This window comes from Homo sapiens, chromosome 9 (assembly GCF_000001405.40).
Source record: "Homo sapiens chromosome 9, GRCh38.p14 Primary Assembly".
NCBI classification, from domain to species: domain Eukaryota; kingdom Metazoa; phylum Chordata; class Mammalia; order Primates; family Hominidae; genus Homo; species Homo sapiens.
In genome coordinates this window covers 132181580-132196145 of record NC_000009.12, presented here as the reverse complement: position 1 = coordinate 132196145, position 14566 = coordinate 132181580, and the positions used below count along the sequence as shown (strand labels likewise).

General features: G+C 54.7%; 1 protein-coding gene across 22 annotated transcripts in view, besides 2 other annotated features; it reads right to left on the bottom strand.

Moving 5' to 3' along the window:
• Positions 1 to 14566, bottom strand: part of NTNG2 (netrin G2) — an 82838-nt gene that overhangs the window by 48381 nt on the left and 19891 nt on the right. The window lies entirely within an intron of this gene.
• Positions 9126 to 9739: an enhancer, noted in NCBI's record as "H3K4me1 hESC enhancer chr9:135061794-135062407 (GRCh37/hg19 assembly coordinates)". NCBI's record gives its function as "activates a minimal SCP1, AML or CMV promoter by ChIP-STARR-seq in primed H9 embryonic stem cells {active_cell/tissue: H9 hESC(primed)}" and the evidence as "EXISTENCE:reporter gene assay evidence [ECO:0000049][PMID:30033119]".
• Positions 10090 to 10384: an enhancer, noted in NCBI's record as "tiled region #1592; K562 Activating non-DNase unmatched - State 20:ReprD". NCBI's record gives its function as "activates a minimal TATA promoter and a strong SV40 promoter by Sharpr-MPRA in K562 cells {active_cell/tissue: K562}" and the evidence as "EXISTENCE:reporter gene assay evidence [ECO:0000049][PMID:27701403]".

Here is a 14566-nt window from a genome sequence, read left to right as displayed (position 1 = left end):
AACACAGTAAGTGAACTCTCATGTAAATTATGGACTTTAGTTAATAATAATGTATCAACAATGGTTCATCAGACATGACTAATATGGTGGCTCACACCTGGAATTCCAACACTCCGGGAGGCCGAGGCAGGAGGGTCACTTGAGCCCAGGAGTTTGAGATCGGCCCAGGCAACACAGAGAGACCCTGTCTCTACAAACAATAAAAAATAAACTGGGTGTGGTGTGGTGGCATGCACCTCTAGTCCCAGCTACTCGGGGGGCAGAAGTGGGAGGATCACTTGAGGCCAGGAGTTCAAGATCAGCCTAGGCAACACAGCAAGACCCTGTATCTACAAAAAAAAATTTAAAAATTAGCTGGGCATAGTGGTGCACACCTGTGGTCCTAGCTACTTGGGAGGCTGGGGCTGGAGATTGCTTGAGCCCAGGAGTTTGAGGCTGCAGTGAGCTATGCAGCACCACTGCACTGTAGCCTGGATCACAGAGGGAGACCCTGTCTCTAAAGAAATTCCCCAAAACAAAGGCCAGGCGCGGTGGCTCACGCCTGTAATCCCAGCACTTTGGGAGGCCGAGGCGGGTGGATCACGAGGTCAGGAGATCAACACCATCCTGGCTAACACAGTGAAACCCCGTCTCTACTAAAAATACAAAAAAAAAAAAAAAAAAAAAAAAAATAGCCAGGCGTGGTGGTGGGCGCCTGTAGTCCCAGCTACTCGGGAGGCTGAGGCAGGAGAATGGCATGAACCCGGGAGGAGGAGCTTGCAGTAAGCCGAGATCGCGCCACTGCGCTCCAGCCTGGGCGACAGAGCGAGACTTTGTCTCAAAAAACAAAAACAAAAACGAAAACAAAAAAAAGAGAAATCCCCCAAAACCTCAAATATCCCCCACTAATGCAAGATGTGGATAATAGGCAGGGAAAGATGGTGGGTGGGGGAGGGTGGCATGGGGTTTTAGGTACTTTCTGTACTATCTGCTCAATTTTCTGTAAATCTAAAACTGCTTTAAAATATAAAGTCTATTAATGAATGAAAGAAAGAAAGAAAGAGAAAGAAAGAAAAAAACGAACACTGTCACTAACAACCACCCAGTGCTCCGGACCACTTGTGGCCCTTTCTGATGCATGTTTCAGGTGTCTGGTTTGCTCAGACACAAAATGGCTTGGATCTAAGTTAAAACCTCTCACTCTCAAATGAGCTGTTTGGCCCCCATGGGGGAAATGGGGCCCACCGCCTTCTGAGGGGCTGAGCCACAGCCCCGCGGCCCCCACCAGGTGCCACTGCAGCAGCCGCAGCCTTTGGGCTTCTATCCTCTAGGGTGAAGGACAGGTCCCCTGGCTGCCTGGGGCTCCTCGGTGGCAGGGCTGACCCTCGGTTCATTGAGGCAGGTTCCACAAATCCCTCTTTGACCAAAATAGCTCTGTCCTCAGGCCCCTATGCAACCTCAGGGTGGCAGGAGCTCACCATAGAGTCCAATATCTCCTTAAGCAGATGGGGGGACTGAGGCCCGGGCCAGGGTAGGACTGGCCCCAGCCTTCTCGAGAGCAGATGGCACCTCTGAGGAGGAGTCTGCTGTTATCATCAGAGATATCCACACCACTGGCAAGCCCACCATGCCAGGACAGCAGAGGGACATGGGGCGGGGGGGTTCCCAGCTTCCTCACTCACTGGCCGGGTGACTCTGGGCAAGACACACCCTGTCCTGTGCTGTTGCCTGGAATGGTGAGGGACTGAGAGGCTGTGGGGATGGCCCAATGGCCTGAGTGGGTAGCAGGTGCTGGGCTGGAGGAGGCAGGCTTGACCCGTGAGGGAGCCAGCAGCCGGGAAGGGTGCTGTGAGCCTGGATGCAGAATGGGCTCTGTCTGTGCCGCTCGGGAGGAGGAGTGATGGGCAGATGCTCCAAGAACTTGCACCTGGGCTCTGGCACCCAGGCACATGCCCCCCTTCCCCCAGCCCAGCCATCACTCCCTTCCTGAAGTCCCAGTGCTGCTTCTGCTGCCCCTGGGGACTTCCTAGGGGCTGAATGGTGTCCCCCAGATTTCTATGTTGAAGCCCTAACCCTAGTATCTGAGAATGGGACTGTATTTGGAGACAGATTCTCTTTCAAGAGGTGATTGAGGTTAAATGGGACCCTCAGGTTGGCCCTAGTCCAATCTGACTGGTGGCCTTGGAAGAAGAAGAAGTTTGGCTGCCGGATGAGACGCTGGGGCCCATGTGCACAGAGAAAAGGCCGTTTGAAGGCACAGTGAGAAGGCGGCTGGCTCCAAGCCAGGGAGAGAGGCCTCTCCAGAAACCAAACCTGCCAACAACTTCATCTTGGACTTTCAGCCTCCAGAACAAGGAAAGACATTTTTGTTGTTTAAGCCACCTGGGTCTCGTGTGCTACTTTGTTATGGTGGCCGGAGCTGACTAAGACAAGCCTCATGCCAGGTGAGCAAAGAGGGAACAGGCCGGGAGGAATGGCTCAGAGGGGTAGAGACGAATTGGGAGTTTTTCATCCTATTTCCCCAGAGGATGTCTCTGGGGTCTCCTCCACCAGCCTGGTTTCTCAGTACGCTGGCACCAAGTGGCGTCACACTGCGTCACCTACCCAGAAAGCTCTTATCAACCCAGCACTGAAGCTGTGCCATTTCCCAGGCCACTTCGTCCCCTCCCACCTCAGAGCCTGTGCTCCTTTGGCCACTGTCTGTCCTCCTGGTTTTCAGAGCCCTCCCACATGTGCCTCCTCCAGGAGGCCCTCCTGACTTGAATCAATCTTTGAACCCAGTTCTCTCATCATCCATCATAGAGTTGTTAATGTGCTTATTGGGGACAGTGTAGTGAGGCCTGCATATTGGGCCTGGACCTCAGTAACCACTCACTCAATTATACTTATTATTATTATCATCATATTAATAAGCTATTAATAAAATGACAGTGATATTGACATATCTCCTATTGAGTGTTGATAGTATTCCCGTCATCCCCAACTGCTGAGCCACCCACACTTCACCTTTTCCCTGGTCTCTCTTCATCTTCCTGCCTTACTTAGCCCTGCCCTGCCCAGGCCCCTGATGGGTTCTATGGGGTGGGGGCATTGTGGCGGGGGACAGGGTATCCCTCAAAGCCCCCAGTTGCACCCGGCCTGTCTGTCACTGGGAAGACTGACACAGCTGGCTCTGGCTGGAGATGGGGGCTCTAAGCTGGCTGCTCCAACCTATGGGGCACTCCGGCCCCCGCCCCGGCCCGGGAAGCAGATGGTCAGAAACTAATGAATCAGCCTGTGTGTTTACAGGCCCCTCGCCTGCTGTGGAGCGAGCTCAGTCAACAGCAAGTACAATAAATAAATCCCGAGCCGCGGCCAACACAATTTTCTCTCTCCCTCTTTCTCTTTCTGTCTTTCTCCTTGTCCCCCTCTGATTTTGCTCCCCAAGGTCTCAGAATTCCACTGAGCTGGTCAGGAGTGTGGAGCATCCCAGCAAAGGCACTGTTGGCGCTGACCTGACCTTCCTTTTCCTCTACAAACACAGTATTGCTTCCTCTCACTTTCCTTCTATTCTTGTTTTGTTTTGTTTTGTTTTTTGAGACAGAATCTTGCTCCATGGCCCAGGCTGGAATGCAGTGGCACAATCTCGGCTCACTGCAACCTCCACTTCCTGGGTTCAAGCGATACTCCTGCCTCAGTCTCCCAGGTAGCTGGGACTACAGGCGTGCGCCACCACGCCTGGCTAATTTTTGTATTTTTAGTAGAGACAGGGTTTCACCATGTTGGCAAGGCTGGTCTCGAACTCCTGACCTCAGGTGATCCGCCCACCTCGGCCTCCCAAAGTGCTGGGATTACAGGCGTGAGCCATTGCACCTGGACCTTCTATTCTTCACTGGGGGAATTCTGGGGACCCACCGGGGTATTAGAAGACCAGTTTACCCCAGTCCCCCCACCCCAGTCCCCAGTCAGCATCTGACAGCTGATAATGTCATGGGGGTGGGGCTGAGACTGGGAGTGTCTCCTCTGAGTGGGGGTGAAGGTTTGCCAGCCTCCTCTGGGTCTGCGCGTTTCCACCCATCTCCAGGACAGCAGATCAACTAATCACAAAAACAGCAGTCAGAACAAAGTGGCCTAATATAGGGAGAGACTGTTAGGCACACCTCTAGCCTTTCAGCATGGCTCCAAAGCCGCCCTTTGATAGTATCAGAAGTAGTAGCTGCCTCTTTAAATATTTCATGAAAATTAAAACAACAACAAAAATCATACCGCTGATTTTTAAAAAGAGTCTTGGGATTTTCTCTAGAAAGATGCGGTAATGGCCGGGCGCGGTGGCTCACGCCCGTAATCCAAGCACTCTGGGAGGCTGAGGCGGGTGGATATGAGGTAAGGAGATCGAGACCATCCTGGCTAACACAGTGAAACCCCGTCTCTACTAAAAAATACAAAAAATTAGCCGGGTGTAGCGGCGGGCGCCTGTAGTCCCAGCTACTCAGGAAGCTGAGGCAGGAGAATGGCGTGAACCCAGGAGGTGGAGCTTGCAGTGAGCCGAGATCGCGCCACTGCACTCCAGCACTCCAGCCTGGGCGACAGAGCAAGACTCTGTCTAAAAGAAAAAAAAAAAGAAAGATGAGTTAACATACCCATTTTCCATACAGTTTTGGGCCCTGGCGTCTGAAAGCCCTGAGTTCCCTCTCAGCTCTCTCCTTTGAGGCTCTGTGACCTTGACAAAGTCACTTGACTTCTCTGAGTCTCTATTTTCTTATTGATTGCCATGTGAGATGGTCTGTGTCTCACATTACCTAGAATCCCTAGGAAATGTCTCCAAATGGGAGCGATTATTTTGAAACAGCAGCTTCGTATTAACTCAGGGACACTCCACTCCCAGCAACCTTCCACAGGAGGAAGGGATGAGGCTGAGACCACCAGGCTTGTGCATGAGAAACCCTGGAACTTCATGGCGTGGACTGTCCCGGGAACGGCTGACTCAGAAGAGTGTGATGATTGTAACATTCACTGAGTGCCAGCCCTGTGCCCGGGCTGGGTTGGGCACTTCACAGCCGCTCCTCCCTGCACCCTCTCAGCAACCCACAGGAGGCAGGTGCTACAGTCAGCTCCACGTCTCAGATAAGACACTAAGTACCCATGGCCGCACATCACTTACCCATCCCCTGGACTCCACGGGACCCAACCTTGAGGAATCTTGGGGAAACCAAGCCCATCATGTCTACAGCTTTCCTATCTCTCTGGACACACATAGGCAAGTCACCTGAAAGGTCAGGCAGTGTGGCTAGAAGTCAAAGGAGGGTGGGCAGAGGGAAGGGAAGGCAGCCAGCCAGGCCCATAGCACCAGAGAACCGGGTGAGGAGGAGCCTCCTACACAGATGCCAAGCCTGAGCTCCTGGCATGAAATATTCTATGGAGAAACCATTTCATGCCATGCTTTTCAAGCCTCGTCATGGGCACTTAAATGCTTTTCCTTTTATGTTATTTTCTGTGCAAAGGGTACAGTCAAAGTCAGAGGCCAGGTTGTAAACATCATAGGCAAGCTGCAGGCAAAAAACATAATTGAATGGGAAAGTGAACTGTTAGCAAGAATGGAGGTAAATGTGCCTGTGGGAAGCCCAGCCATTTGAACTTCCAGGCCCCTGACTAAGGAGGCCGTGGAGGGGCGGTCACTGGAATGGTCACCAAGTCTCAGGAAGAAGAACAGACAACGTCATGCAGCTGGCCTTGCACCCAAGCCTGCGCTGGGATGAAATCTCAGAGTTGGGATGAAATCGCCAGGGTGTCCCGGGCAGGGCTCTGTGGTTTGTGGAGGGATGCACTGGCTCACTCCCTCAGCAGCTCCCCAGCTCCACAGGCTTGGGCGAGTCCCCCAATTTCCTTGAGCCCAATGAAGCCCAGGACATGCTACCCTAAAACCTTCTTTTTTTTTTTTTTTTTTTTTTTTTTTTTGAGATGGAGTCTCTCTCTTTCGCCCAGTCTGGAGTGCAGTGGCGCTATCTCGGGTCACTGCAAGCTCTGCCTCCCGGGTTCACACCATTCTCCTGCCTCAGCCTCCCAAGTAGCTGGGATTACAGGTGCCCGCCACCACGCCCAGCTAAGTTTTTGTATTTTTAGTAGAGACGGGGTTTCACCGTGTTAGCCAGGATGGTCTCGATCTCCTGACCTCATGAGCCGCCCGCCTCGGCCTCCCAAAGTGCTGGGATTACAGGCTAAAACCTTCTTAAAATATTTTAGGCTGGGCACAGTTGCTCACGCCTGTAATCCCAGCACTTTGGGAGGCTGAGGCGGGCCGACCACCTGAGGTCAGGAGTTCAAGACCAGTCTGGCCAACATGGTGAAACCCTGTCTCTACTAAAAATTAAAAAAAATAAATAATTAGTTGGGCATAGCGTTTCGTGCCTGTAGTCCCAGCTACTCAGGAGGCTGAGGCACGAGAATCATTTGAACCTGGGAGGCAGAGGTTGCAGTGAGCTGAGATCACACCACTGCACTCCAGCCTGGGTGACAGAGTGAGACTCCGTCTCAAAAAAAAAATTTTTTTTAAGCTGAAGGGATTTGAGAAAACCACAGAAGCGGAAGGTTACTCTTTGACCTTCCCCTGCCCTTCTTCCCTGAAGCAGGACATGAGGCTCATTCGAGAGGTGCCCTCCCAATGCCCGGAGGAAGGAACATTCTCATCTCCAAAGATGCAGGGTCACAGAGAGGGACCTGGACACACAGGTCTTGCAAAATTCCCGCCAGTTTATCACCAGGAGATGATACCTTTTTTTTAAGCCAATCGTACTTCTCCATGACTATTTCTCCATTAAACCTAGCATACAAAATAGATGTTCACCAATGTTTTGGGTCTTCATTCCTTATGAAAGCTCCCATGAGGCCAGGCAACACAGGGAGATGCCATCTCTACAGAAAAAAACCTCAAAAAACAAAAAAGAAAACTAGCCGGGCATGGTGGCACACACCAGTGGTCCCAGCTACTTGGGTGGCTGAGATAGGAAGATCCCTTGGGCCCAGGAGGTCGAGGCTGTAGTGAGCCGTAACTGTGCCACTGCACTCCAGCCTGAGTGACAGAGTGAGACCCTGTCTAAAAAAAAAAAAAAAAAAAAAAAAAAAGAAAGGCTTAAAGCCTTTTTCACATAAAACTTATATTAAATCCACTGGTATGCTTTGGTGGTATTAATCTGTCTGTTATGATGGGCCCTCAGCCACTAACATAGAATGGGTGAGGAAAAGATCTTTCTCCTGCCCGAGAGCCTCAGCTTCTCTGTTGGAGGGGAGGCTTCATGCGGGCAGCGACCACATCTGATCCTGTCCCCACTCCAGCCCCAGCCCCCGGCCCTCCTCAGGGACTCGGGAAATCTTCGGAGAATGAATGAACGCTCAATGAGGTTACTAGCACTGGCTTCACAGGGTTGTCATAGGAATGATGCCAGGTGCACCATGGCAAGTGCCTCGGTGGTGCCAGCTCATGGGTGAAGGATGCTGGGAGCACATTCATGGCCACTGTCTGGCCTGGTGCTTCAGCAAACAGCAGGCCCCGCCGTTAGGGAGCATGTCTTCCACCTCGGCCCTGTGCTGGGCGCCCTGTGTGCCTCAACCCCACCTCCCACGCTCCCAGGGATCCTGGAGAGTGCGATCCTCAGGAAACCGAGACTCAGAGAGGCTGAGCAATGTCGCAGGGTCATGCGGCTCGGCAGCAGCTGAGGTGGGATAAGAAGCCAGGGGATGGCCCACTGAGCTGGGCCCTGAGACAAATTGGGAAATGGTGCCCTTCACCCAAAAGGGAAAGGACGCTGTTGCCTGGGCCGCACTGTGCTCCCGCAGACTCGGGTTCCACGGGGAGGCAGGCGGCACGTCTCTTGACTGCTGTTGCTGATTTGCCAACGGAACCCTTCTCATCCTCAGCCCCTCAGCCTCACCAGGACGGGAGGCTGCTGCCGCATACAAGGTGGAAGGCTGGAGGCTGCCCAGGAGAGGCCCTGGGTGTGGGTGCCCAGGTAGAGGGCCAGGACTCGAGCACGGGGGAAGCAATCGTGGGGGAAGGCAAGGAAAGGCAGCCGAGCTAGCCCCACCCTCCTCCTTGGATGTGGCCTCTGCCATTTCGGGGGAAACCCTATGGCTTGGGCAGGTGCATAAATCAATAGGTGCCCTGACCCGTGGGGCCATGGAATTAGGACTCAGGGGACTGCCCCTAACACCATGTGTGACCTTGGCCAGGGCCTTGCCCTATCTGTGCCTTGGTTTCCCCGTTCACAAAATGACCGGGCAGGAGTGGGCTGTCCGCCTCTGACCCTGACATCCTAAAGTCTCAAGTTCTGCGTGTTCCTCAGGCCCCCATGCTGCTAGGGAGGAAGGGCACAGAGACACATCCTCCTCCCCTGACTCCAGGGAGAAAGCCGGGGTGCTAGGGGAATTCTCCTTAACAGATTACTTCCTATTTATTGGTAAGAAAAGTTGCAGAGGGAATAAATTATTAACAAAGCGGAAACGGAGATTCTGTTCAGAGCTGATTCTAATTCTAGCGGCCCTGACGGTCTCTAACTCTCTGAGCTCTCCCTCCCTCCCTCCCTCTTGTTTTCTGTCCCTCTCTCTCTCTCTCTCTCTCTCTCTCTTGCTCCCTCTCGCTCTCTGTGTGTGTGTTTCTCATTCTCCTTCTATGGTTTCATTGATCGCTGTCCCTCTTGCTCTCTGTGCTGCTAATTCCTTCCCCAGCGTGCAGGTGTCTCTCTCCTTCCCTTTCCAGATTCTCTTCGTGCACAGGCCCTGGACAACAGACAGCAAGGTCACCCTCCCCGCTCGTGAATCAGCGTAAACCAACCTGGCATTTTAGGGCTGGAGCTGCAGCTGGCCAAGGCGGCTTTTCTGTTTTGTTTTCTGGTTGGAGCAATTTTCCTCCCAGCTCCAAGCAATTACTCAGGCAGGGGCAGGCAAGCGAGCCTCCAAGCGCTGCCTCCCCAGGGACTCGCTTGTCCCAGCAATGAGCCTCCCAAAGCCACGGCGACCGCCCCTGCTCCTCCCCCAGGGGGGCCACAGTGGGCATGGCCTGGGCACAGGTCCACCTTGAACCCAGAGTCTCTGGCTGCCTCTCGAACCTGCCTCGGCTCAAAAGGAGACCCAGAAAATGCATCTCAGTTCCTTGGTTGCTCAGAGCGGCTCTCCTCACCGCCCCTCACCCCGCATTATTTGGGAGGAAAGGGAGCACTTTAGGCCTTTCAACCCTGCCCACAGTGTTCCTCCTTCCAGAACCTTCTGTGAGTGTGAACTCTGGGAGAGCAGGGGCCTTACCCACCTTTGTGCCACACTCCCAACAGCTGTTTGCACACAGCGGTATATGACAAACATTCCCTAACTGAGCGAGGACCCTCTGCAGTGGCTCCAGGCAGTTCTATCCAGGTAGGACGCTGCCTGGGGGAGAGGCGGTGGGCATCCGCGGGCTTCGCTCCGCTTTGGGGATGCTGTTCCAGCAGATCGACTGCTTAGTCTTCTTACACCAATTCGGGTTGCCCCCACAGAACACCCTGAGATCCTTTCGGAGGACCTGAGGGCATTGGGCTGCCCTGATGGACGAGCTGCCCGGGAGAGGGTCAACTGGGAAGCCAAGGTCAGAAAGCAAGGATGAAATGCCAGGCCTGGTGTGGGCACCCACTGCTCATCAGGACCGCAGACCCCTGAATGACTGATCTCCTCCGTCAGCCGAACCACCAGAGTGTGGTGGGCGGGGAGGCATTGCCATGGCTCTGGCTAGACAAGGGTTAATCTCTCCAGGAACTTAAAAATGTATTATTGTTTTCTTAAAGGACACATTCTGCTTTGCCCTGGGCATATGTGGATTCTTCCCACAGCCAGATTTCCAGGAATGTTTGGGGCAGGAAATTCTATCCCAGTTGAAGAGTGCCCGTGCATCCCTGGGGCACCCCACAGGCGACTGACAGAATGGACCAGACACATGGGCGTCTGTCTCAGACAGGGTAAGGCTCCCCTTCTCTTGCATACCTCTAGCGACAGGGGTTTCATTACCACAGAAGGCAGATAGGTGAAACCCCACTGCTCCCTCCTTCGAGTGTGGGGCTGAAATTTGGCCGGTGCTTTGCATTTTTTCTTGGTCCCAGGTTCCCTATTTTTCTCTGGCTATGCTGTAAACACTTTCTAATTGATTAGAAAAAGGAGAGAGGGAGGCCGGGTGAGGCTAAGCCCTCCTCCTTCCCCACACCAGGAGCTCAGTGATCCTCAAACACTTCCCTAGCAGGGCCAGCGGGAGCGCTCAGCCGCTGCTGCTCCTCCTCCTTTCCCTCCTCCTCCTCCTCCCACTCCTCCTCCTCCTCCCACTCCTCCTCCTCCTCCCACTCCTCCTCCTCCTCCCTGCACACACAGGGGCTCAGTCTGGCGCCTCCCTTCCTGCCCACTCCCTACTCAGGGCTTCACTGGCCACCCAAACAGCTCAACACTTTCATACTTTTTTAAAAAGTAAATGAAAGGAGAGATGGAAGGATGAAAGAACGGGAGAGAAGAAAAGGGAAAGAAAGATAAGGGGGCGGGCGGGGGAAAGGCACCGAGAGGAAGAGGGCTACATCCGGAGAAGCCCAGGAAAGTGCATTATTGATTCAGGACTTAGAAAATGCTTAGAGAGTAGGAACAGCGCCCTGCTCTTTAAAAGCTTGTGCAGAGCATAAGCTAGACCCAGGCAGCCTTCCCAAAGAGGGCCCACTCTGCCGCCATGAATATTTTATCACGGAGGGAGGAAAAAAGTGGCTGTGAGGGTTTCAGTGCCGGGGTGGGGTGAGGGACAGGCCCCCCTGGCTGGGGCGCTTGGTAGCTGCCTCTCCTCGGATCCCCTCCCCAGATCCTGGGGGCCTTTTCTGGGCCCCCTCTCCTCTTCTCTGAGAGCTGCCCTGGGCTTTCTTGCTGATCAACAGGGCCTCAGCCAGCTTCCAACAGAGGCCCAGGGTGGGGAAGGGGGTCGGGGGAAGCATCAGCTGAAAGAGGTTTCCGGATGGGCTGAGAGTGAAGCCTGGTCCCCAGCAGTGGTTTCTCCTAAAGGCTCACTCTGTTCTCCCCTGCCCCGCCTTGGTTGGGGCCTCCACCGACCCCTCTAGCCTCCCCACCCCCAGCCCATTCTCAGCCTGCAGCCAGACACCCTTCCCTTTGTCTCCAGCTCCTCCTCAGAGCCCCAGCGCCTTCCCCTTCTTAAGTCCAAACCCTGGGCCTGGCTCTGCCACCAGCTCTGCCTCTCTCCCTTGTCTTTCCAGCCTTGTTTTCTTTGAGACAGAGTTTCGCTCTTGTTGTCCAGGCTGGAGTGCACTGGTACGATCTTGGCTCACTGCAACCTCGGCCTCCCGGGTTCAAGTGATTCTCCTACCTCAGCCTCCCAAGTAGCTGGGATTACCGGATGTGCCTCCACACCTGGCTAATTTTGTATTTTTAGTAGAGACTGGGTTTCCCCATGTTGGTCAGGCTGGTCTCGAACTCCTGACCTCAGGTGATCCACCCGCCTCGGCCTCCCAAAGTGCTGGGATTACAGGCGTGAGCCACCATGTCCGGCTTCTGGCCTCGTTTTCTACTGGCCAGTCTCTCCCGCCCTTTGGATGCCCCCTCCACCCCGCGGAGCTTTCAGGTTGAGCCATCTTCTGTCTACAGCTCTCCCTCCAGCCTTTGGCAGGTGTCTGCTTAAATTTCTTTTCCTCAGGGAAAACACCCCTGGCCACTGCCCCCCAGTCCCAAGGGAGCACTGGGTCACAGTTTTCCCCAGTGGCTTCTTCGGTTAATGACGGGTGTGTCCCCTCCCCACTGTGTGCTTCAGGAAGGCAGGGGCGGAGCCTGACACAGCCGAGTGACTCCCCCTCCTCGGCCCCTTCCCTCTCCAGGTGTTCCATACTCAGAACCAGGTCTTAGGAGTAGACACAGCACCCGATGGACGGGGCCTGCCCCTGAGAACAGCCAGAAGCTGCGACCTCCGAGGGTTTCTTCCTGCTGGTCTCTGAGGAGTTAAGAGGCGGTGGGGCCGATGAAAGAGTAAAGTTACTGGGTCTGCCCACACCTGGGGACACCTGGACAGGTACACCCCTCTGTGGATGAACCCTGGCTCGTCGTTGGGGGTGGGTGCGAGTAGTGAGGCTGGGCTGGTAAGTTTCATTGATTTATTCATTCACTTATTCATCAACTATTTGTGAACATCCTTCGTGCCCCAGAGAAGCAGCTCTTAGATTTGGCCACCCATGAAAACATGACAATACCTGGGGACGGGAGGGGTGTGGCAACATTCCTGGGCCCTAAGGTCAGAAATTCTACTCCAAATTGAAAGCTAACAAACAAACCAACAAACTAACCAATCGAGTAATTAACCAACCAACTAACCAAAACCCTCAGCAGGTGACTCAGATGTGTGGCCAGGTTTGAGAGGCTGGTCCAGGTGGTCCAGGGAAGGGCCCCCACACGATGACACTGTTCCTGTTATTTTACCTACAGGTGGGGAAGCCAAGAGCCCCTGAGCCAGATGCTTGCTCAAGGTCACACTTCTGGTGACTCGGGCAATTTGCTCCCTTTTGGGAATGTTGACCGTTCTGCTGTGTCCACCAGAGAAGTCACCTGTGTCCTGGTCCCCATGAGTGGCACAGATGACAAGCCCTGGAGGTGACGGGCTGGGGCAGTCAGAAGGCTTCCTGGGGGAGGTGGGATTTCATCTGGACTCAGGACAGGTGGAGGGACACTCGACTAGTCTGGGAGGATGGTGCTCTAGGTCGACTGAGCAAAGGGCCAGGCTGGACACACAAAACACTGCAGGGGGGCAATGGGTTAACGCATGCACGCTGCTGAGCCAGGAGCTTGGTGGGGAGCGCAGGAGAGAAGGCCAAAGGGAGGCCAGGAGCCAGATGGGCAGCTTGACATTAAGCAGCGCCCGTGACAGCCCTAATGCTGGCCGGCCCCCTCCTTCCAGGAAGACAGGTGAAGAGCCTGGGAACAAAGTGTGAGGGCTTAAGTGGCCCTCTCCCAAGCCTGGAGAGCTGGCACCCCTCGGCACCCAGGAAGCCAGAAGGAGGATGGAGCACCTGCAGCTCAGATGTGAGAGAGGCTCTGAGAGAGCCGAGGCAGGCCATGGAATTCTCTTCCTCCTGGTCTTTCAGTTTTAAGACGACAAGATGCTTCAGGCTGGAAGGGCTCCAGGGCAGGCCTGGGAGAGGTTTCAATCGGTGCTTCTCAAACTTGGCTGTGCACTGGGACCACCTGGGGAGGTTTAATGCCTCCTCCTGCTGGGCCGCCCAGAGAGGCTGCTGAAGCTGGTCTGGGGGGCAGCTGCGGCAGGGGGGGAATGAAAAGCTCCCAGGCAAGTCCAGTGTGCACCCCGGCTGAGAGCCAGCCGAGTGGCTTAGAGGGCAGCCTGGTCCCTGCCCGCTCCGCTCCTGGTGGGGTCATAGCTGCCCGCTGGGCTTGAGGCCTTCGAGAAGACTGCCCCAAGTGTTGGGAGATGGAAAAGAGCCACAAAACCTGAAACCTCCCTTTCCTGCTGGGAGACAACCCGTACTCTGTACCCAAGGCTGCAGTTCTCAGCTGATGCCTGAGCCCCTTGGGGGAAGGTCCTGGGCATCACGGCTAGTCAGGGCTGATGAGGCGCAGCGTCCACCCAAGGTCGTGGCTGCTGCCTCCAGGACCCCCTGGGTGGGACAATTTTCCATTTTGGAGCGGGCAGAGACAGCAAGGAAGGCCACCCAGCCCCCCACCCACTTGGGCCTCCTCCTTCCAGTGCCCCTCCTCTAGGCTGAGAGGCGGCCAACCCAGTGCAGGGGAGGGGAACTGGGCAGGAGGGTAGGGCTGCCCCGTGCCAAGCAGACAGGCCTGGAGCCCTCCCTTGGCAGACAGCACACTCCTCCACCCCCTGCACCCTCCACCCTCTATTTTTAGGCCCATTATTGTCCATTGTTGGGTGCAATTTTTTCCCCCACTCCTTCCCCAGAAAAACAATCAGGTTCCTCCAGGCAAAGCCATCTCGCCTTCCCCAGAGCTGGTGCGTGGGAGCACGCTCGCTGCCAAATAGACATGAAATAAGTGAATTATCAAGTAACTGGATTAGCGGACTCCATTGTGTCTCAAAGGGCAGGGGGTGGGGAACACCGTCACTCCTCCGGGCCCTCCCTTCTCTGGGCTGCCGGGGTGTGCTGGGGGAGGAGAGGCTGACAGGGACAGTATGCTCACCAGCACACATGGCTGCACGCACGCACACACACACACAGATGACAGCCGCCTCCGTCTATCAGGCGCTTTCTGAGATCCAGAGCGACTCGTGTCAGCTGAGCAGCCTGTTTAGGAACCTGGATGCCGGGCCGGGCGGCCCAGGCTGGAGGTGCCAGCCTCCTCTACTTAGAAGCTGTGTGGCCTTCGGCAAGTGGCTTAAATTCTCTGAACCTGAGATTCCTCATATTCAAAACGGATCTAAATACAAGCTCTACCTTAAGACTTCTGTGAGAGTTCAATGAGCTATAGCTTAGGTTAAGGGCTTGGTATACATGAGGCACTCAACAAATGCTCGATGTTTCTGCTCTGAGGAGAAGGATATAGAATCAAGAAAGTCTGGCTATGGCCAGGCACGGTGGCTCACGCCTGTAATCCCGAC